The sequence below is a fragment of the Homo sapiens genome, chromosome 10 (genome assembly GCF_000001405.40).
Source record: "Homo sapiens chromosome 10, GRCh38.p14 Primary Assembly".
Classification (NCBI taxonomy): domain Eukaryota; kingdom Metazoa; phylum Chordata; class Mammalia; order Primates; family Hominidae; genus Homo; species Homo sapiens.
Genome location: NC_000010.11, coordinates 68,955,490 through 68,978,256, shown reverse-complemented (window position 1 = coordinate 68,978,256; position 22,767 = coordinate 68,955,490). Strand labels below are relative to the sequence as shown.

Sequence of the window (22,767 nt, the reverse complement as noted above, 5' to 3'; positions counted from 1 at the left end):
TCCTGCATCCATTACTAGCCACTGCCATTCCTCCCTCCACACAGCCAGTCAGGACCACTCATATTTTCTGCCTCTATGGATTTGCATGTATGTGTGTGTGTGTTTAAACATGGGAATTATTGGTTCTTTTCTTTTCTGAGACAGAGTCTCACTCTGTCACCCAGGCTGGAGTGCAGTGGCACCATCATGGATCTCTGCAGCCTCAACCTCCTGAGCTCAGGTAATCCTCCCTCCTCCCATCCCAGCCTCCCAGGTAGCTGGGACCACAGCATGTCACCACGCCCAGCTAATTTTTTTTTTTTTTATTTTTTTGTAGAGACAGAGTATCACTAGGTTGCCCAGGCTGATCTCAAACTTGTAGGCTCAAGCCATCCTCCTGCCTGTGCCTCCCAAAGGGCTGGGATTACAGGCATGAGCCACTGTGTCTGGCCAGAAATTGTAAAATACAATTAATACTTTACTAACTTCATGAGAAAATGAAAACAACTGGGAAGCTTAAATGAAACCCTTTCATATCCTGCTCATACCCCAAATTATGAAGTGTCAGGAATGTGCTGCAGAACCTTACCACATTTGAGTTGATCAAGGAGCGCTGGTCTACGGACGTGGCACCTGAAATATGGGCCAGTGCTGCTGCCAGAGCTTCCACAGCTCCCTTCTCCTCTATCAGCTTCTCAGCTGATTGTTTGAAGTGACTAATGGCAGTGGGAGGCACGGAATCCAAAAGCCTGTTGTTTGAGAGTGTGTTAGGAGAAAGGATACTAGAAGTGGACACATTTCATTTCTAAGACATCTCAAGATAAATGAGTAACTTTCCAAATCTTTCACATGTGTAACATATTTATTTTTGATGCAGTATATAATAATCATATTTCTATAGTAATAAATCCATTCCTTTGACTGTATGTAATTCTAATTTATCACCTACCCCACCATTTTATCCTAAGGAAATAATAAAACAAGAAGTTCACCACGGTGTTACTTATAATACACAAAAAGTACAAACAATTTTAAAATGTGCATCATTTGGGCTGCTTATATAAGCCACAAAACAGACATAATAAAATGTCATACTACCATTAGATGTGATGATGAATTATGTCAAGAGTTTTTATACAAGAAGCATGTGTTACTTTTAGGATCAGAAAAAACCTATTTCCATTCTGAAGTTTAAAAAAAAAAGCTGGGTGTGGTGGCACATGCCTGTAGTCCCAGCTACTTGGGAGGCTGAGGTGGGAGGATTGCAGTGAGCTATGACTGTGCCACACACAATCATTTTAAGAAACTCCGTCTCTTTAAAAAAAAAAGAAAATAAAAGAAATAAGAAAAAGACCTCCAAAGTCAGTTTAAAAAATGATAAGGACCTTTATGGGACTATTTGTACATTCTTAAGGGGGTCACTATTATCTTGGCAATAATAAATGTCCCATTCAAAGTTGAAAAAGATCATCCAGTAAAAAGGGGAGAAAGTGACATGCAGCCGTGTCAGGGCTGGCACGCTGGAGGCTGTTTGTTGTATACCACCAGCATCTTTGTCCCATTCCCCTTCTTGGCCATCTAACCCCAACTCTCCTTAACTGGCACCCAAGGGAACCCTGTCTGTAGGACACTTAAAAAAACATGCCATGCTAAAATAAATTTGAAAAATGCAGTTAAAATACACTCTTCCAGGCTGGGTGTGGTGGCTCACGCCTATAATCCCAGCACTTTGGGAGGCCAAGGCGGGCGGATCATGAGGTCAGGAGATTGAGACCATCCTGGCTAACACGGTGAAACCCCGTCTCTACTAAAAATACAAAAAATTAGCTGGGCGTGGTGGCAGGTGCCTGTAGTCCCAGCTACTCGGAAGGCTGAGGCAGGAGAATGGCGTGAACCAGGGAGGCAGAGCTTGCAGTGAGATGAGATTGCACCACTCCACTCCAGCCTGGGCAACAGAGCAAGACTCTGTCTCAAAAAAAAAAAAAATACACTCATCCTTCCTTTCCTCCCTTCCCTGTCTTCTTTCTTCCTTCCTTCCCTCTTTCTTTTTTTTGAGATAGTCTCACTCTGCCACCCAGGGTGGAGTACATTAGCACAACCACAGCTCACTGCAGCCTCAACCTCCTGGGCTCATGCAATCCTCCCATCTCAGCCTCCAGAGTAGCTGGGACTACAGGCACTTGCTACCACATCTAATTTTTGTATTTTTGTATTTTTTTTTTTTTTTTGAGACAGAGTTTTGCTCTTGTTGTCCTAGCTGGGGTGCAATGGTGTGATCTCGGCCCACTGCAACCTCCACCTCTCGGGTTCAAGTGATTCTCCTGCCTCAGCCTCCCAAGTACCTGGGATTATAGGCGTGCGCAACCACGCCTGGCTATTTTTTTGTATTTTTAGTAGAAATGGGTTTTTTCCATGTTAGCCAGCTGGTCTTGAACTCCTGACCTCAGGTAATCCACCCGCCTTGGCCTCCCAAAGTGCTGGGATTACAGGTGTGAGCCACCGCACCCGGCCTAATTTTTGTATTTTTTATAGAGATGGAGTTTCACCGTGTTGCCCAGGCAATCCGCCTACCCCAGCCTCCCAAAGTGCTGGGATTACAGGCATGAGCCACCATGCCTGGCCCAAAACTCTTTCATTAACAAAACTTTCCTGAACTATTAATATGCTGATTGACATCCAGGATTTCCTTTGATCATGGACTCCCTGTGTCTGTTTTTTAAATAAGCATTTACAGTAATTGTGAAAACTACTATAAAAATGATGCCCAAACTCAGTGGTTCTTTAACAGAGAACATAGGTCACCATCAGGAGGCATCTGGAAAATGGTTTCTGGTTTTTATAATGCCAACCCTACTTACCCTGAGTATGTGGCACAGGGGAATCAGCCACGGATCCTAAGCAGCTAAATATCCTTCCATTTGCAGGACAATCCCATAAAAAATAATTCTCTTGCCTCCAATGCCAGCAGCACCTCCATTTGACAAACTGTTAATTAACCTAATCCTCACCATCTAGACATTTACTATTAACGAAGCAATCAACTTTCATCCTACCAGGGAAGGAACTGGATTAATGTAGATTTGGAATGTAATCTGTGGTCTAATCAGCCAGTGGGTGAGAAGCACCTATACTATACCTAAGATATTATCCCTTAAAATATCCTAGACAAAGCAAACTATTTTAATAGTGGTTTCCTCTGGTAAACAGGATAGGACAGGAATGAGTAGAAACGAGGGTATCCACTTTGTGAAATTCTACTTCAGCACGGTCTGGTTTTTTTTTGATAAACAGGTTATCAGTTAAAAAGAATAGGCTGTGCATGCTGGCTCACACCTGTAATCTTAGCACTTTGGGAGGCTGAGCTGGGAGGACTGCTTGAGACCAGGAGTTGAGACCAGCCTGGGCAACATAGTGAGACCCTGTCTCAAAAATTTTAAAAAAAAAATTTTTTTAAGTCAAATCTTATTACTGTACAAAGACATGCAGTATTTGAACCAACACTAAAACAGACCATAGCAGTGGTAGGGAACATACCTGATGGCATCTTTGCTGGAAGCTTTTATTATTTCTGTTGCAGAAGGAACACCTATTCGTTTGAACTTAATTCCCTACAGGAAAATGAACCACAGTTTAATGTACAGTGGCCATCAATTGTTTCCAATAAGATAAGCAGTCCCCTAATTTTTTAATATAGGCCAAATGTATGTATTACATTAAAAAATGAACTTTTAATTTTAGACTTACAGAAAAGCTACAAAGACAGTACAGAGAGCTCCAGGTTTCTGCTATTATTAACATCTTACACTGTTAATGTATATTTGTTTCAACTAAGAAACCAACATGGCTAAACTATTAATCAAACCCCAGACTTTATTCCATGTCTGTCTTTCCTTCTTTCCTTGTTTTTCATGACTTTGACAGTTTTAAGGAGTGCTGGTCAACAGTTTTGTAGAATGTCCCTCAGTTTGAGGTTGTCTTGTGTTTTCCTCATGCTCAGGGTTACATATTTGGGGGAGGAATACCCGAAGTGAATGCTCGCCTTACCACCTCTTATCAGGGGCACATGGCTATGTGCCTATCACTAATGATGTGACCCACGATCAACTGGCCCAGGTAGTGTTTGTTCATCTCTCCTCGGTAAAGTCCTCACTCCCCACCTTACTCTATTCTTTGAAAGCAAGTCCCTAAGTGCAGTCCACTCAAGAGGAAGGAGACGAGTGAAGCTCCTGAAGGGGCAAGAATCTACATACACTATTCCAATTCTCCTGGAGGAAAAATTAGTCTCTTCTCCCCTTTATCCTTTTGACATACCCTCATTCATTTGATTTTCAAGCAATTCCTACAGCCCCTCAATCTTAATTATCTCTGGTTCATATTTATCATTGTCTGAAAACTTCCTTTCAAACATATGAAAACAAAATCACTGTTTTCAAATGCAAAGTTACTTCAGAATGGGCCTTTTATCACAGGACAACATATGTACCTAACAATAAGCTTTCAGTCATTGCCACACACTAGAAATAAAAATATTTTAAAGTGGATAAAAATTGAAGAAACCAAAGACTGACTTTAGAACTCAACATTTGCTTAATGAAAGGTAAGAATAGTTTTACCGCTTTTTGCTCCACTTGTACTAACTGATATTCTTCCTTGTGCTGATAAAAGCAGATGCACACCCCCGTCCTTCCAGCTCTGCCTGTCCGCCCGGATCGATGAATGTAGGACTCTACATCCTATTGAAGTAAAATACATGAGTAACACTAAACCAAAAAAGAGAGACAAACACCTGAGTAGCCTATGCAGGTCAGTGAACACTAGCAATTGTGGTTATAAACCTGGGGACATGAGGGAGAAGGTCCCTTAGCACTTCAATTTAAAGACCTCTGGCAATTTTTAAAGCTTCTAGAACAATGGTCCCTGTCCTGCAGGCAAATTTACAAAGAGCATTGTCTAAATAGTGCTTGTCCATTAGAGGCATATATGTAATTCCAATTTTCAGTCTTCCAGTAGACAGACTGAAAAGATTTCTTTAAGAAGCTTAATGTATTTTAACTCAATATATCTAGTCTTTTTTTTTTCTTTTGAGACAGAGTCTCACTCTGTCACTCAGGCTGGAGTGCAGTGGCATGATCTCAGCTCACTGCAACCTCCGCCTACCGGGTTCAAGTGATCTTGCTGTCTCAGCCTCCCAAGTAGCTGGGACAACAGGCACCTGACACCAGGCCTGGCTAATTTTTGTATTTTTAGTATAGACAGGGTTTCACAGAGTTTCACCATATTGGCCAGGCTGGTCTCGAACTCCTGACCTTAAGTGATTCGTTTGCCTCAGCCGCCCAAGGTGCTGGGATTACAGACATGAGCCACCACGCCTGTCAGAATATCCAAGTCTTATCATTTCAATATACTATCTATACAAACCAGGGTACCAATGCAATATTTTGTATTTTTTCGTAAGTCTTCAAAATCCAGACCGCATAATAAAAAGTTAGGCAGTATGTATTTTACACTTGCAGTACACAGATCAATTCAGACCACCTACATTTCAAGTGCTCAACACAGCTAGTGGCTACCATATCAAAAAGTCTAAAGGCTCGTGAAACAATGTTTATACCACACACTCATGGGACTTCCTTTTTAAGAATTGGTGAATTCATAGTCTTCAGTTATTTTTCCCCATTGTTGTAAGCAGCCTTTAACCATGGGGGATTTGCCAATTTGGGTGAGATTTTGGGGTCCTCATGTTGGAAGTGATTGGAATACCTTTGGAACAACCTTTATTTACGTGAAGAACTATCCACATCAAGTAAACTATGATTCAGGGTCCTCCTTGAGAGGTTCCTATAACTCACAAACCTAAGCATCTCTAACCACAGAGGTTAATTACAGGCCCTTTCTCTCCCCTGTCCTCTAGGCTCATGCATTTATCTACCTTACTTACCCCTATCCCATCTCAGTCCTTCCACCCATCTTCAAGGTTTGGCTCAAAAATCACACTATATCCCCAAGTCACCTTTTGAACCTCTGTCTGCTGACTGCACTTCTACTCAAGTGTCAGTTCTGAGGGGGGTGTCTGATAACAGGTTCATTCTCAAAATCACCCTTAGCATCCCAGCACTCAAAAGATAGCTATATACTAATGACATGAAAGTAAATAATACAATTTCCAATTTGTTTTAATACCCAAAAAAAACAAAACAAAATAAAATCTAAGCATAAAGCACATACCTTTGGTGGAGAGCTTTGTATAACCAAATCAACCTCAGGGATGTCTAACCCACGTGCAGCAACATTGGTTGCCACCAAAACTCCAAAACTACCATTTCTAAAACCTTTCAGGGTGATTTCCCTTTGCTTCTGTGGAATGTCTCCATGCAAGGACTGAGCATCCTGCCAATAAATAAACGGATGTAAGAACACCAGTTCCAACAATACAAGTACTTTTTCTCTTCATCAGTTAGGCCTGTAAAAGACATTCATATTTTGGTGACATGCCTGTTGAAAACATTACAAAGGGGAAAATGTGTCTTGAATGGATAAGCCTCAATATTATTTCCAAATCCTCAGTTATCAATTCCAACTGTATCCAACTTTACTTATTGAAGTTGAGAATGAGACAAGAGTGATCAAACCTATTTTATCAGTGTAACCTTAGGTCTGAGCCACCCTTTCCTCATTTGTGTGATGAGATGCCATGACAGATTAAGTGAGTTCTAACATGTACCCTCTGATCATTAGAAAGAAGTGAGGCCAGGTGCAGTAGCTCATGCACTTTGGGAGGCCCAGACAGGCAGACTGCTTGAGGCTGGGGTTTGAGACCAGCCTGGGCAATATGGCAAGACTCGGTCTCTACTAAAAATAGAAAAAAAATTTAAAAAAATAAAATTAGTTGGGGGTGGGTAGGAGAATAGCTAATCCTGCTAATAAATGCTGGGCTTAATACCTAGGTTATGGGATGATCTGTGCAGCAAACCACCTTGGCATACATTTAGCTATGTAACAAACCTGTACATCCTCACATGTACCCCTGAACCTAAAAGTTGAAGATAAAAAAAGTCTTCCCAATTAGATAGTGGTGACTGTGGCACAACCTCATGATTATGCTAAAAGCCACTGAACTGTACACTTTAAAATGATAATATGTGGCACATGAATTATATCAATAATAAAACACCATCCAGAAAAAAAAAGCCAGGTATGGTGGTGCATGCTACCTGGAGGTTGAGGCTACAGTGATCCGAGACCACGCCAATGCACTTCACTTCAGCCTGGGCAAAGGGAGTGAGACCCTGTCTCCAAAAAAAAAAAAAAAAAAAAAAAAAAAATTAGGCTGGGCGCAGTGGCTCATGCCTATAATCCCAGCATTCTGAGTGGCCGAGGCAGGTGGATCACTTGAGGTCAGGAGTTCGAGACCAACCCGGCCAACACGGTGAAACCCCATCTCTACTAAAAATACAAAAATTAGCTGGGCATGCTGGCACGTGCCTGTAATCGCAGCTACTTGGGAGGCTGAGGCAGGAGAACTGCTTGAACCCAAGAAGCGGAGGTTTCAGTGAGCCAAGATCACACCATTGCAGTCCAGCCTGGGCGAAGAAGCGAGACCCCCTCTCAAAAAAATAAAGAAAAAACAAAATTAACCAGGAATGGTGGTGCTCACTTGTAATCCCAGCTACTCGGGAGACTGAGGTGGGAGAATCACTTGAACTCAGGAGGCAGAGAGCCCAGATCACACCACTGCACTCCAGCCTGGGTAACAGAATGAGACTCTGCCTCAATTAAAAAAAAAAAAAAAAAAGTAGCTTCCTCTCATTTCTAAACTAAACTAAACTGGTATTCACTGAATGAATGAAAATCAGACCAAGAGCAGATATGCCCAAGGTGAAGATTTGTTGATATCCCCAGTTTTGCTGGCATAAGGGGAAGGACCAACCTGCTTTATAGCTGAATTCTGGGACAGCTCCTGGGCTTCTTTCTTGGTTTCACAAAAGATGATAGTGCGTCCTTGATGACCACTATATACTCGGATGACATCCCCAATAACTGCTGCCCTCTGAGTCCAGTGGCACTTAATAGCCAGATGCTTATGTAAGAAGAAAAAAAACATCTATTTAGTAAAGCTTTGCTGGAAACTAAAATCACAACACAATGATCAGTGAGCACAACACTAATGTTCTAATGTCTTGCTCCTGGAAACAACTACTCAAGCCTGATAAGAGCTGTCTGCAGCCACCACTGACAGAAAAAAACCTAAATAAGCCAGTAAAGCAGAAAGCAACATGATCTGCCCATCTCCCCATGCCTCTCCCCTTTCTCTAAAGAGCATCTAACTTCTTTATTTTCTGACAACCAGGAAAATGCAGGAAAGGAAATGCCACTCCCTAGCTTTCTACAGGAAACCAAATAACCAACAAATTTCTGTATGTTTTGCCTTTTCATTTACTTAAAAACCCAATCTGTAGTAGATTAATATACAGGTCTGTTCCTCAGTGAAATTAATTCATCTAGATTATCAGAATCAAAGGTGAAATTTTAAACTTCAACACTTTTAAGCTTAAACACAAAGCACTAGATTTCTCTGCTGCCCTCTAATGTTTAAATTTTAAGTGTGATTTATGTTTACATAACTCAGATAGATTTAAGTTCCAAATCATTCTGAAATGAAATGAGGCCATAGATGATGAAATTTTAAAAACACAGATATCGGGCCGGGCGTGGTGGCTCACACCTGTAATCCCAGCACTTTGGGAGGCCGAGATGGGCAGATCACGAGGTCAAGAGATTGAGACTATCCTGGCCAACATGGTGAAACCCTGTCTCTACTAAAAATACAAAAATTAGCTGGGCGTGGTAGCGCATGCCTGTAGTCCCAGCCACTCAGGAGGCTGAGGCAGGAGAATCACTTGAACCTGGGAGGTGGAGGTTGCAGTGAACGGAGATTGCGCCACTGCACTCCAGCCTGGTGACAGAGCGAGACTCCATCTCAAAAAATAAAAATAAAAACACAGATATCATATACAGCTCAAATAGAAATATTTTTCCTTGGCTTTTCACATGGATTTAGTATTTATCTGGAAAAAGAGCATTTGCCAGTCTTAATACTAACAGACAAGAAAAAAATATATACAATTTTATATTCTGGCAACTAAGTAAATAATTTACCTCCACAGTTATTGCCGTTTTCTGAGTCTTTTTACCAATCAGGTCCACCTGTTCATATGTAGATTTCATGTATTTCTTGGCAACATTAAATACCCAATGAGGGCAAGTTGCAGAAAAAAGCAATGTTTGGGGATTGTCTTCAGAATCTTTGAGGAGGGGGAAAAAAAAAGTCAGTATGAATAATCCAAACAAGCCTACATAGTATTCCACCTAACCTAATACTTCCACAGTCCATCAATGTTCACCAGCAACCACCTGAGGCCAAGTCGGGCACTGAGGACACAAAACTGGAAGACAGAGGTTTCCCAATGGGCAAAGAAATACCGCTAGGTAATTTATCTAAAAGATCCTTAAAATAGTGAAAGTACTTTAAAGTTATTTTGCTTTCTGACCATTAGGCTTTTGAATTACAAACGAAATCTATTCTAAGATTTCTATTCTCAATATTTTATGAATTTAGAATTCTTGTCCAATCATTGAGTCCAGCTACTATTTTTGTTTGTTCAATTCTACTTAAGAGTGACATCACATTCTCAAACATTCCAAATAGAAGTGTGATAGAACCCTTCTGGAGAGAATTTGACAATGTATATTGAGGAGCATGAATTTTTTACACTTTTAAGCTCAGTAATTCCACTTCTGGAAATCTATCCTAAAGAACCAATTCCAGGCCAGGCACAGTGGCTCATGCCTGTAATTCCAATGCTTTCAGAGGTGGAGGCAGGAGGATCACTTGAGGCCAGGAATCAAGACAAGCCTGGGCAACACAGTGAGACCCTGTCTCTATCAATAATAAAAACATTAGCCAGGCATGGTGGCGCACGCCTGTAGCCCTAAGCTACTCAGGAAGCTGAGGCCCAGGAGTTTAGGGATGCAGTGAGCTATGATGGTGCCACTGTACTATAGCCTGAGTGACAGGGTGAGGGCCTATCTTAAAAATAAAAAAAGGGCGGCCGCGGTAGAGCACATCTGTAATCCCAGCATTCTGGGAGGCCAAAGTGGGAGGGAAGATCACTTGAGTCCAAGAGTTCAAGACCAGCATGGTGAAACCCAGCTCTACAAAAAACAGAAAAATTAGCTGGGCATGGTGGCGCACATCTATAGTCCCAGCTACTCGGAGGATTGCTTCAACCTGGAAGGTGGAGGCTGCAATGAGCCAAGATCCCACCACTGCACTCCAGCCTGGGTGACAGATTTAGACCCTGTCTCAAAAAAAAAAACAAAAAACAATTCCAGATATTGAGGTGAGAAGCTATCTGTATAAAAGTGGCTAAACAGAACTATTTATATTGAATAAAAATCAAACTAGGCAGATGGTAGAATTAAGTCATGGCCAACCACTTCATACAGTATTTTTGCTGAATTTTTATATGTATAGTCAGAGTATAATCAACACATATATACAATAAAATGCAAAACATCAGGAATACACCAAAAGCAGACCACATCAAGATGACAGAAGATGGTATTTTTCTTTACTTTTCCAAGTTTTCCCCATTGTGGTAATATGATAAATCATGACTTTTTTTTTCCTCACCAGCTTTAATCCCAGAGTAATGACTTTTTTTTTTTAATCCAAGTTTCTAGATAAAATGAGCCCCATTCCAATTTCCCAAGGCTTTATTAATCTCTTAGAAAACTACTTAGTCACCAGGCCAGGCGCAGTGGCTCATGCCTCTAATCCCAGCACTTTGGGAGGGTGAGGCAGTCGGATCACCTGGGGCTGGGAGTTTGAGACCAGCCTGGGCAATATGGCAAAACCCCATCTCTACTAAAAATACGAGGCCAGGCGTGGTGGTGGGTGCCTGTAATCCCAGTTACTAGGGTGGCTGAGGCATGAGAGTCACTTGAACCCAGGAGACAGAGTTACCACCCTTCCTTTGGTCTTTTTTATCAGCTTCTTGAATTTGTGGATTACCTTTCTTGTATGCCACACTTAAAATCTCTTCCACTTGATCAGCAAATCCCATATCCAACATCTGGTCCACTTCATCCAGGACAACATGCTTAAGTTTGGTGAGATCTAGTTTGCCATTCTGTATGTGGTCTTTGATACGACCTGGTGTTCCAACCAGGATATCAATCCCATTCCTCATGCGTTCAACTATAAAAAACAATGACAAGATTTGCTGGGTTTTTAGTAAGTACTTTTATCTGTGTGGGGTACCACAGTTAACTGTATTGTTACTCTAAAATATTTGTTAAATACCTACAAGTACAAAGTAATATGCTAAGTAATAATGATAAAGATACTCATGGCACTCCTAATCTAGTGGGAAAAACATTAGAAGTGAAAAATATCAACAAAATTTAAAGCACCCAATTATAGTAAATATTTGAAGTGACAGTCTAGTGTACAAAGTGACATAAAAGAAATATGCAGCCGGGCGTGGTGGGTCACGCCTGTAATCCCAGCACTTTGGGAGGCCAAGGTGGGTGGATCATGAGATCAGGAGTTTAAGACCAGCCTGGCCAACATGGTGAAACACCATCTTTACTAAAACTACAAAAATTAACCAGGCGCAGTGGTGGGCGCCTGTAATCCCAGCTACTCGGGAGGCTGAGGCAGGAGAATCGCTTGAACCTGGGCAACAGAGGTTGCAGTGAGCCAAGATCACGCCACTGCACTCCAGCCTGGGCCACAGAGTGAGACTCTGTCTCACCAAATAAATAAATAAATAAATGAAAAAGAAAGAAAGAAATATGCACTACTGGAGGACAATAGCATCAGGAAAGAAATTACTTCCGGCTGGGCACGGTGGCTCACGCCTGTAATCCCAGCACTTTGGGAGACTGAGGCTGGCAGATCATGAGGTCAGGAGTTCGAGATCAGCCTGGCCGATATGGTGAAACCCTGTCTCTACTAAAAATACAAAAATTAGCCGGGCGTGGGAGCCTCCCAGGTTCACGCCACTCTCCTGCCTCAGCCTCCCGAGTAGCTGGGACTACAGGTGCCTGCCACCACGCCCGGCTAATTTTTTGTATTTTTAGTAGAGACGGGGTTTTACCGTGTTAGCCAGGATGGTCTCGATCTCCTGCCCTTGTGATCTGCCCGCCTCAGCCTCCCAAAGTGCTGGGATTACAGGCGTGAGCCACTGCGCCTGGCCAAAACTATGATTTTTTTAAATTCCTTAAATCCCTTCCTAATTTATACATCTGCTCTAATAATAAAGCTCCAAGGCCTTGAACTGGGAAGTAATGGAATATAAGAGTAGAGACTAACATTTGGCCCTTGAGCCCCAAGGAAAGAAAGCCTGCCTACATCAAGAAAGAAGCAACCATGCAGAAAGAGGGACAGACCCAAGGTCCTGACAGACAAGAGGAACCTTGAATTCTGACTTCCTATTTCCTAGAGCCCAAATGGACTGTCTTTTTGGGTTCAATAATAAATTACTTTTGTAGCCCCTAGATAAATATAAATAGATAAAAGTCCTAAGAACGATATACAGGATTTGCCTATCATCAAGCAGGACCATGTTCTTGACCATGTTTAAACAATGGCAAAAGAAAATCCCCATAAACGACTATCCTATATAGAGAAGCCAGATGTCAAGGTGAAAAGAAATCCAATCAGAGCAGTCAACAATGGGTGGCATTATACCTCCCTCACTTTTTGAATGTACTCACATTGACCTCCATAGGGAGTTCCACCATAAAAACAAGCCACTGACAGCTTTTTTGTGATGTCACTGAAGTCTTTGCTTACTTGATTTGCCAACTCTCTTGTAGGTGCAAGAACCAGTACCTGATAAAGAAAAATAATTGAATTCAAATTACTGTGTAGTATTTGTTTCTTAATCTAGTCCTTAAAGAACAGCATTCCAGGAAAAGAACGACTTGAACAAGGTCTAACGCTGATGATGACGATAACATTATCTAATATTTTTGTCTAATAGATCTGAGACTCTACTAAATTCTTTATATATATTATTCTGATTCAATTCTTGCAACCTTTTGAGCTAGGTATTAGAGGATAAATAACTTGACTAAACCCCAAAGGCTAAGAAGGAGCAGAGCCTTCAAGCAATTGGGATCCAAAACCTATAGTCTTAACCTCTACAGTAGAGAAAATTTGAAGCAGAACAAAATCAGAGAAGTAAGGTAGAGCCAACAATGTAAGGGGCTTTGAATCCTAGAGCAATATGAATTTGATCTATATATATATAAAACATGAAACTGCTGGCCAGGCGCAATGGCTCATGCCTATAATCCTAGCACTTTGGGAGGCCAAGGTGGGTGGTCAGGAGTTCAAGACCAGCCTGGCCAACATGGTGAAAGTCTATCTCTACTAAAAATACAAATGAGCCAGGCGTGGTGGCTCACACTTGTAATCCCAACTACTTGGGATGTTGAGGCGGGAGGATCACTTAAACCTGCGAGGCAGAGGTTAAGATTGCACCACCGCACTCCAACCTGGGCGACAAAGCGAGACTTTGTCTCAAAAAAAAAAAAAAAAAAAAGTCCAGGTGCAGTGGCTCAAGCCTATAATTCCAGCACTTTGGGAGGCTGAGGTGGGTGGATCACTTGACGTCAGGAGTTCCAGACCAGCCTGGCCAACATGGTGAAACCCCATCTCTACTAAAAATACAAAATTAGCCAGGCATGGTGGTACACGCCTGTAATCCCAGCTACTTGGGAGGCTAAGGCAGGAGAATTGCTTGAACTGCTACAGGTCCTCAAAAATAGGGTAATGGTATGAAACTAATATGATTCAAGAACACCTAATACATTCATCTAAAATGTGCTAGGGATATAGCAGTAAACAAATTAACAAAGGGGGAGCATGGACACTGGAAGGCCAGTGAGCAAGTGAGGTTAGGCCAGAAAGACAACTGCAAGAACCCACAGCCAAAGTGACTACATGGGCATTCGCAGTCATTTCAATGAGGTTAATGTTTGTTAAATGTCAAGTTCTCTAGAAATGAACCCAATGGACTCACCCTAATATGGGGGCTTGGCGTTTTCACCTCTGACTTGCCCTTCTTTCCATTCATGCTTTTCTTTTTTTTTTTTTTTTTTTCTTGAGACGGAGTCTTGCTCTATCGCCCAGGCTGGAGTGCAGTGGTGCATCTCGGCTCACTGCAAGCTCCGCCTCCTGGATTCACGCCATTCTCCTGCCTCAGCCTCCCAAGTAGTTGGGACTACACGCGCCCGCCACCACGCCCGGCTAATTTTTTGTATTTTTATTAGAGATGGGCTTTCATGTTGTTAGCCAGGATGGTCTCGATCTCCTGACCTCGTGATCCGCCCACCTCGGGCTCCCAAAGTGCTGGGATTACAGGTGTGAGCCACCGCCCATTCATGCTTTTCTACCAAAAATGCTTTCTCCATCTAGGCAAAAATGGTCAGACACTTGACGAAAGCTATGAGCCCCAGGGACATCTAATGGTTTGAAGGAAATATGATAGCATTAATTATATAGATGATCAAAACTGTGGGAAAGATTAAAATATTGAAATATACAGAGAATGATCTGTATATATTAATTATTAAATATAAAAGAATTGTCCTGGATTACTTTCACATAAAGATCCACAGTAAATAGAATGGGTGACTATAAGAACTCAATAAAAAATAGTAGGGTATGTACACAATGCCCAAGTGGTGGTTTTTCCTATGCTGACTGAGAGCCCTTGTATTTAAGACAGTTACCTGAGGGGCACGGCCTCTCTTCCTGTCTTGCAGTTCCCCATGAAGTTTCTCAATCAAAGGGATGGCAAAGGAGAATGTCTTCCCAGTTCCTGTCCGTGCCTGTGCAATTAAGTCCTTCCCGCTGTAAACATGATGGAATGTCTTTGCTTGTATAGGAAATAGGAAGGTCACTCCTCGGCCTATGAACAAATTAACTGTGTTATCTCACACTGCAATTCTTAAAACATTAGCCATACTGACATACTGAAGTATACTACTCATGCTTCTGGTCCTGCAGAATTAAGGAATTCTACCTTCTGGTCAACATCTACAAAGTTAGGCTCAAATACGTATATTTTTTAAGAGACAAGGTCTTGCTTTGTCGCCCATGCTGGAGTACAGTGGTGTGATCATAACTCACTTGCAGCCTTGAACTCCTGGGCTCAAGTGATCCTCCTGCCTCAGCCTGATGGACAGCTGGGATTACAGGTGCAAGCCATCATACCTGGCTCAGAAATATTCTGATAGTAAAGAATCTGCTTGACTGAAAAATATCAACAAACTTTAAAGCATCCAATTATAGTAAATATTTGAAGTCTCATCCATAAGCCTGAAAATCTGGTGCTTTGCAATCCAACTGTGCTGCTCCTGATTTAGGAAGCACCTACTTGAGTAACTGTGACTCCAGCTACTTCAGAAGCAGATTATTAAATGAATTCTGGGTTTATGCCTATAAATTAGGCTCATTAATCTAGAGATGCCTCAGAAGTGAAAGAGATAAAACATTAATATGGCATCACCTAATTGCTTAATTTCACCAGCACCATTAGTCAATACACTTCTGAATACACACTGTATTAAATACAATTTTTTTTGAGACAGGGTTTCATTCTGTCACCCAGGCTGGCGTGCAGTGGTGTGACCACAGTTCACTGAAGCCTTGAACTCCTGGGCTCAAGCGATCTTCCTTCCTCAGCCTCTGGAGTAGTTAGGACTATAGATGTGTGTTACCACGTGCCCAGCTAATTTTTAAACTTTTTGTCGGGACAGGTTCTCACTATGTTACCCAGGAAGATCTCAAACTCCTGGCCTCAATCAATTACAGGTGTGAGCCACCACAGAGGGCCTGAAAAAGCTTTAACCACTTGTTTAAGAAGCATGAAGAACCATCACTACTATAGTACTAAATTGAATACACAGGCCTACTTCATTATATGACTGCATATATCAGCCTACAATAAGAATACATCCTGGTTCATCTTAACAAAAATAGTGGAGTGCTTCTGTTAAAATAATACGTTCTAACATCATACGATATTTCCAAGAACATTACCTTTGAGAAGTTTAATAGTTTCTTCAGATATGGGAAAATTAGAGAAAGCGCCTTCTTTTTGTTCCACAGGTATTTCCTATCAAGTAAAGGGCCATAGAAAGAAATCAATAATCACCTACACAAATTAATAGAGAACCTTCTGAGAAAGAGACAAAACAAGCTATCCTAAAGCAATTCTTCTAAACACATCACTTTAAAAATCAACCAAAAAGATACAAAAACCTTGATAGGTAACTCGAGATCTGAAAAGGAAACATTGTCATAAATCTATAAAACTTTAACAAAAGAAAAATCTGAGGCAAATATATACTGGGTAACTAGATCTCAACTAAGATCTCAACTAAGATTATGTGTGACTAGATCTCAACTAAGATCTACTCCATAACCATAATCAACAATATACTGATGGAAATGTCATTAGCCCTCTTCCAAAGCAGCATCTCTTGTATACACACATCCATAGAAAATGAACAAACATTTTATGAGGTAGCAGTCACTGTGGCATTATTTGATAGTAAGATATCTGAATGCTCAATACAAGTAGTAAGTAGATTTCAAGACATTTATATGAAGGATTATGTAACCATTAAGCGTACTTAACGAGGAAAATGCTTAGCTAGAAACAAAAAAGATACAAGATTGCACAGTACAATCCTAATCTGATTAAAAATAATAGATGCATATACTAAAAGTACTACAAGGAAACACCAAAAATTAACAAGATGACTTCTGTACTTGAAAAGTACAGGTATTAATATTTACTAAATGAATGGTGAAATTCCAGGAAGCATTTCTTTCTTTTTGCAAAATGTCTGCATTTTCTATTTTCTCTGGATCACATATTTTTTATAATCAGGAAAAAAGTTACAAATGTTGACCATGATCTATAGCAAAAAGAAAATCTATTAGAATTAGTATTTTTCAGCTGGGTGTGGTGGCTTGTGCCTGTAATCCCAGCTACTCGGGAGGCTTAGGCGGGATTATCGCTTGAAGCCACAAGTTCTAGACCAGCCTGGGCCACACAGCGAGATCCCATGTCTAAAACAAATTTTTTTAATACAATTCGTATTTCTTTCATAACTGAGTTTCTGAAAGATAACAGAATTAGGTTCTGGACAGACATTTTATCATCCTGTTCAACTCCAGGATGATTACTTAATGGCCTAACCAAAAGGACTTATGCAATCAACCTTTTCAGTAATTCCAATAATTTATTTGGTTAAACCCCTCAGAGGGAAACTAGGGCCCATTTACAAAACTGTATCTCTTCTGTTGACTGACTTGCAAATAAGCAGACCAAGACTCTCCCTAAGCTTAAGCAGTATCTGCTTATTTGTAAAGGAGGCATTGTGACACTATGCTAATTTTTTTTTTTTTTTTTTTAAAGACAGAGTCCGCTGGGAACAGTAGCTCATGCCTGTAATCCCAACACTTTGGGAGGCCCAGGCGGGCAGATCACCTGGGGTTGGGAGTTCGAGACCAGCCTGGCCAACATGGTGAAAGCCCGCCTCTACTAAAAATACAAAAAATTAGCCAGGCGTGATAGCACACACCCGTAATCCCACCTACTGAGGAGGCTAAGGTAGGAGAATCACTTGAACCCAGGAGGCAGAGGTTGCAGTGAGCTGAGATCGTGCCACTGTACTCCAGCCTAGGTGACAGAGCGAGACTCTGTCTCAAAAAAATAAAAAAATAAAAAAGACAGAGTACTCTTAGCTGAGCCACCATGCCCTGTCGTATGCTAATTTTTAAGATGAAGTCCCAGTCAGCCTAAGGTATCCCCCAACCCACAAGGTGCTGACACATCACATTTTCTCCTACTATTAAAGAGTACATATAGCAGTTACCTACTTATTTATCTGAAACAACAATGAAAGATATCTTCTACCCAATGAAGTGCAAATGTACCTGCTCTATCTCACTGTTACTTTCTTCACTGGCAGCTTCACTGGGGTTACAGTCCGGTTCAGGATGAGGAAATCCATTCTTCAGTTTGGGGCTTTTCTCTCTAGTTTCTCCATTCATTTCCTTTTCTTTCTTCATCTTCTTGGGCTTAGGAGCATCTATTTCTTCCTCAGAAGGCTCCTCATTTTTTGTCACTTTTTTGGTTTTAGAAGAAACCACTTTCTTTTCAATGGGCTCCTTTTTCTTTCTCAAACTTTTGGTTTTAGGAGAAATGTCATTTTGAGATGGCTCCTCTTTCTTTTTTGCCTTTTTGGATTTAGGAGAATTCATGTCAACTTCAGAAGGCTCTGCTTTCTTTTTAACTTGTTTAGCTTTGGGGAAAACAGTTTCTTCCTCTTCTGCTATCTCTTCAGTCTTATCAGATTTTGGCTTCTCTTTTTTCTCTTTCTAAAAAAAATTCATAAGGAAAATACAAACACTGAATAAGGCATTTATACATTTGCAACATTCATCAATTCTGGATTATTTCAAGATCATTTTCAACTTTAAAAAATACAATTTTGGGGCATTTCGACATTTGTACTTTCATGCTGTGATAAGGTAAAAATCAAAATAGTAAGCTTTTTCTAAAATCGCTTCTTAGCTATATATATAGACGGGTATATATCAATAGTTTCACTATCTTGGAAAATGAAGAGTGCCCCTTAGTAACTATTCAACTCATGTGGGTCAAACAGTTGTAAAACAGATTTTCTTTTTTGAGACAGAGTCTCGCTCTGTCGCCCAGGCTGTAGTGAAGTGGCACAATCTCAGCTCACTGAAACCTCCACTCCTGAGTTCAAGTTATTCTCATGCCTCAGCCTCCCGAGTACCTGGGACTACAGGCGCCCACCACCACACCCAGCGAATTTTTGTATTTTTAGTAGAGGTGGGGTTTTCCCATGTTGCCCAGGCTGGTCTCAAACTCCTGAGCTCAGGCAACCCACCCACTCCGGCCTCCCAAACTGCTAGGATTACATGAGCCACCGTGCTTGGCCTATAAACCAGATTTTCATAAGGGATTTGGATAAGCTCATGGGATACTCCAACAGGCTCCAAACTCAATACTATAAAAAGTCCAAATTCAATTCCAATAGAATAAGGCAAATGTATCTACAGATTGATGATGTTAAGCAGGTTTCTTTTCTTTCTTCCTGCTAAAATCCCAGGTAAAACAACAGGGATTTTTTTTGTTTTTTTAAGAGACAATTTCACTTTTTCACCCAGGTTGTGGTACAGAGGCATGATCATAGCTCACTGCAGCCTCTAACTCCAAAACAGGAATTCTGCACTTTGCCTATCTTACAAGAGCAAATGAATTTATACAAAGACAGTTTAGGGCCAGGTGCAGTGGTTCATGCCTGTAATCTCAGCACTCTGGGAGGCCAAGGCAGGAGGATTGTTTGAGGCCAGCAGTTCCAGGCAAGCATGGACAATATAGCGAGACCCCGTCTCTATTGAAAAAGTTTAAAATTTAGGCTGGGCGCGGTGGCTCATGCCTATAATCTCAGGACTTTGGGAGGCCAAGGAGGGCGAATCACGAGGTCAGGAGAAGGAGACCATCCTGGCTAACACAGTGAAATCTCATCTCTACTAAAAGTACAAAAAAATTAGCCAGGCATGGTGGCACGCACCTGTAGTCCCAGCTACTCGGGAGGCTGAGGCAGGAGAACTGCTTGAACCCGGGAGGCGGGGGTTGCAGTGAGCTGAGATCATGCCACTGCACTCCAGCCTGGGCGACACAGCAAGACTGTCTCAAAAAAAAAAATTTTTTTTTTAATTAGCCAGGTGTAGCAGCACACCTATACTCCTAGCTACTTAGGAGGCTGAGGTGGGAGGATTGCTTGAGCCCAGGAATTCAAGACTGCAGTCAGCTATAATCATGCCACTGCACTCTAGCTTGGGTGACAGTAAGACTCTGTCTCTACAAAAAATAAAAGGGCAGGATGCAGTGGCTCACACCTGTAATCCCAGCACTTTGGGAGGCCGAGGTGGGCGGATCACCTGAGGCTGGGAGTTTGAAACCAACCTGACCAACATGGAGAACAAGCCTGGGCAACGACAGCAAAACTCCATCTCAAAAAATAATAATAATAAAATAAAGAGACACTTTATGAAACAAAAAGTTATAAAAACTCACAGTCTATCACTCATGTGTAAAAAAGATGTACTTAATTTAAAATAAAATAAATAAGTTACAAGAATATGGAAGGAGTGACACCTTAGAACCAAGTAAGACAGATGACTGTGGCTCCTATTTGAACTTTCTGACCCTCTACAACTTTTCATACTACTGAAAACAATTAGACATGTGTTGTAGCCTCCTTAGAAGCCTGTTCTGGCAGAGCCCCAGAACAATGTTGGAAGTACATATTACGCTGAATTCTGCCTCCCGGAAATTTCAGGCCTGGTCTCTGTTCTCAAATCATAGATTAAGAATAATCTCCTAGCCAACAAAAAACAAGCTAGTCTCCTTCCAAAATTTTATTCGTTTTCATCCCTTGGTTCCACCAAATAAGACTGAGTTTCCCATCCTGGTGGTCTCTTTTGGAATATAACAGAGTTTGGTCATGTACCTCTGGATTTGAGCATGCCAAATTGAACGCAATTGACTGATGCAATGTAAACCAGGACCACGACCTTCTTGCACCTGAGTACAAATCTGCCGCGGCTTCCTACAATTCTAAAATATTGCTATTGTAAGAACTCCATATCAAAAGACAGAGAAACCAACAAGGAAAGTTAATTCTAAGTAGCGTACAACCTAAGTTCAAGGACAATCTTTGTTCCCACTGACTTGATCTCAGAACAGAGACTCAGTCACAAGTTAAATCACTAGGAAGCAACAGCAAAGCACCGGTCAGCTATCAAGGTTAAAACTACTGCACACTGCTGGCCTATATAAAAAATATGGTGTACACTCAGCACCGCAACACATGCCTTTACATTTCCATGGGAAATCCAGTCAACTCATGTGGGTCAAACAGTTGTAAAACAGATTTTCGTAATAACTGAATTACGTCATCTTCTCAGGGCGGCTTACCGGAAAACAAACTCTACTTCCCTTACGAGAGTTTAAAAAGTCACTAAAGACGCGGCCCACGTGCGCAGATGAAGTTAAGACCTCTCCAGTCTACTCTAAAGCTCCAGTGCCCACATTTTTTTTTTTTTTGAGATGGAGTTTCGCTCTGTTGCCCAGGCTGACGTGCAGTGGCGCGATCTCGGCTCACCACAACCTCCGCCTCCCGGGTTCAAGCAATTCTCCTGCCTCAGCCTCCCGAGTAGCTGGGACTACAGGCGCGCGCCACCATGCCCGGCTAATTTTTGTATTTTTTAGTCGAGACGGGATTTCACTATGTTGGCCAGGCTGGTCTCGAACTCCTGACCTCATGATCCGCCCGCCTCGGCCTCCCAAAGTGTTGGGATTACAGGCGTGAGCCACCGCACCCGGCCTCCAGTACCCACTTTGACTTGACGTGTAACTTCCTTCGCGCACGCTCATGCCGGGAGTTCTGTCTTAGCCAACAACGTGGAGCCTGACTGAAGGTCCAACTCTGCGCACTGTGTGAGGCGCGCCCAAGTCGCCGGGGACCACGTGGGACACCCGGCCCTCTCCCGAGCTCCAACAGGGCCTCTCTACCAGAGTTCCGACCTGTGGATGCCTATAAGCTCAGAGGAAGAGGTCAGCGCACGGCGGACCTGGCTCGGTCGGGCAAACGACGCGTCCACTGCCCGGGGAGCGCACCACTCCTGGGCGACCGCCCGCCAAGACCCACGCCCGGTGTCTGGACGCGCTGTTATCCGCCGCGCGCTCCCACGATCCCAGCCCGGGCACTTCTCCCGCACCCCGGGGTTCCGCTCCATTCAGCGTCCCTCCTGGCCCCAGGTCCCTCCGTTTCACCTCCTCGGTTTGCTTTCGCAGTGTCTCCCCTTTTTTCATTGCGGTGTCTGATTCCAAACCAGCGTCACTACGGAGTTTTCCCGGCATCTTCAGCGCAGGTTGCCCAGGCCGACCGGTCTTCTCAACCGCGTGGAGAGGAAGAGGTAGTTCCCCACCCTGGGTCCACCCGGCTCTCGTCACTTCCCGTAGCAAGGCACTTCCGGGGGAAGCAGGAAGCACAGGAAAAGCTGCTTTCCGCGTGGTAAATTCAAAGCAGCGGCCTGTGACTGTGGTTGGATTTAGTGAATTGACCACTTGCGGCCCTTGGTCTAGAAGGCACCTACGGAACGGTAGAACCGCAAGGAATTGCAAAGGTTAGCTTTGTATTCTTCAACACTGGCCAGATTTTCCCTAGCCCCAGCCTGATAAATGAAGGCTTCTAGTTGCTTTTGAGTGGCGCCATCTTCAGTGCTTTATGTTGTATTGCTCGAGTTTGCACGTACAGACGCGCGGATGTGTGTCCTTAATCATCTCTTGGAAACGTCTACTCTGAAAGTGTCGACCAGACTCAGGAGCCTGAAGAAAAAAAATAATTCAGTCGGGTCTGGTCGTTCATTCATGCGAGCACTCAAACATCTTATGAGCGTTCACTGTGTCAGGTAGGAGAAACAGGACTAGTATTCACTAACAAGCACAAAAGCCTTATCGTCAAGAAGCTTTATAGACTAGCGGGAGAGAGAGGTCTTGTGGGTTTGAGACAGAGTCTCGCTCTGTCATCCAGACTGGAGAGTGCCATGGCGTGACCTGGGCTCACTGCAACCTCTGCCTCCCGAGCTCAAGCGAA

General features: G+C 42.4%; 1 protein-coding gene across 3 annotated transcripts in view, besides 4 other annotated features; it reads right to left on the bottom strand.

The window, feature by feature from the left end:
- DDX21 (DExD-box helicase 21) overlaps nt 1–22,087 on the bottom strand; it is a 28,899-nt gene extending 6,812 nt beyond the window's left edge. The window contains exons 1-12 of one of the 3 annotated variants that reach the window (NM_004728.4): nt 21,945–22,087; nt 18,008–18,451; nt 16,100–16,175; nt 14,788–14,966; nt 12,763–12,880; nt 11,054–11,239; nt 9,136–9,281; nt 7,907–8,056; nt 6,205–6,366; nt 4,593–4,712; nt 3,514–3,587; nt 569–728 (exon numbers count right to left, since the gene is read on the bottom strand). In NM_004728.4, coding sequence (NP_004719.2) covers nt 569–728; nt 3,514–3,587; nt 4,593–4,712; nt 6,205–6,366; nt 7,907–8,056; nt 9,136–9,281; nt 11,054–11,239; nt 12,763–12,880; nt 14,788–14,966; nt 16,100–16,175; nt 18,008–18,451; nt 21,945–22,031 — 1,902 coding nt within the window. In that variant the 5' untranslated portion in view covers nt 22,032–22,087. Of the gene's footprint in view, nt 1–568; nt 729–3,513; nt 3,588–4,592; nt 4,713–6,204; nt 6,367–7,906; nt 8,057–9,135; nt 9,282–11,053; nt 11,240–12,762; nt 12,881–14,787; nt 14,967–16,099; nt 16,176–18,007; nt 18,452–21,508; nt 21,611–21,944 lie in introns of those variants that run through there. The other 2 variants (NM_001256910.2, NM_001410932.1) reach the window with 2 other exon arrangements.
- Nucleotides 20,548–21,328: an enhancer, noted in NCBI's record as "H3K27ac hESC enhancer chr10:70716685-70717465 (GRCh37/hg19 assembly coordinates)". NCBI's record gives its function as "activates a minimal SCP1, AML or CMV promoter by ChIP-STARR-seq in primed H9 embryonic stem cells {active_cell/tissue: H9 hESC(primed)}" and the evidence as "EXISTENCE:reporter gene assay evidence [ECO:0000049][PMID:30033119]".
- Nucleotides 20,948–21,207: an enhancer, noted in NCBI's record as "active region_3473". NCBI's record gives its function as "activates an Ori minimal core promoter by ATAC-STARR-seq in GM12878 lymphoblastoid cells {active_cell/tissue: GM12878}" and the evidence as "EXISTENCE:reporter gene assay evidence [ECO:0000049][PMID:35858748]".
- Nucleotides 21,329–22,110: an enhancer, noted in NCBI's record as "NANOG-H3K27ac-H3K4me1 hESC enhancer chr10:70715903-70716684 (GRCh37/hg19 assembly coordinates)". NCBI's record gives its function as "activates a minimal SCP1, AML or CMV promoter by ChIP-STARR-seq in naive and primed H9 embryonic stem cells {active_cell/tissue: H9 hESC(naive and primed)}" and the evidence as "EXISTENCE:reporter gene assay evidence [ECO:0000049][PMID:30033119]".
- Nucleotides 22,518–22,767: an enhancer, noted in NCBI's record as "active region_3472". NCBI's record gives its function as "activates an Ori minimal core promoter by ATAC-STARR-seq in GM12878 lymphoblastoid cells {active_cell/tissue: GM12878}" and the evidence as "EXISTENCE:reporter gene assay evidence [ECO:0000049][PMID:35858748]".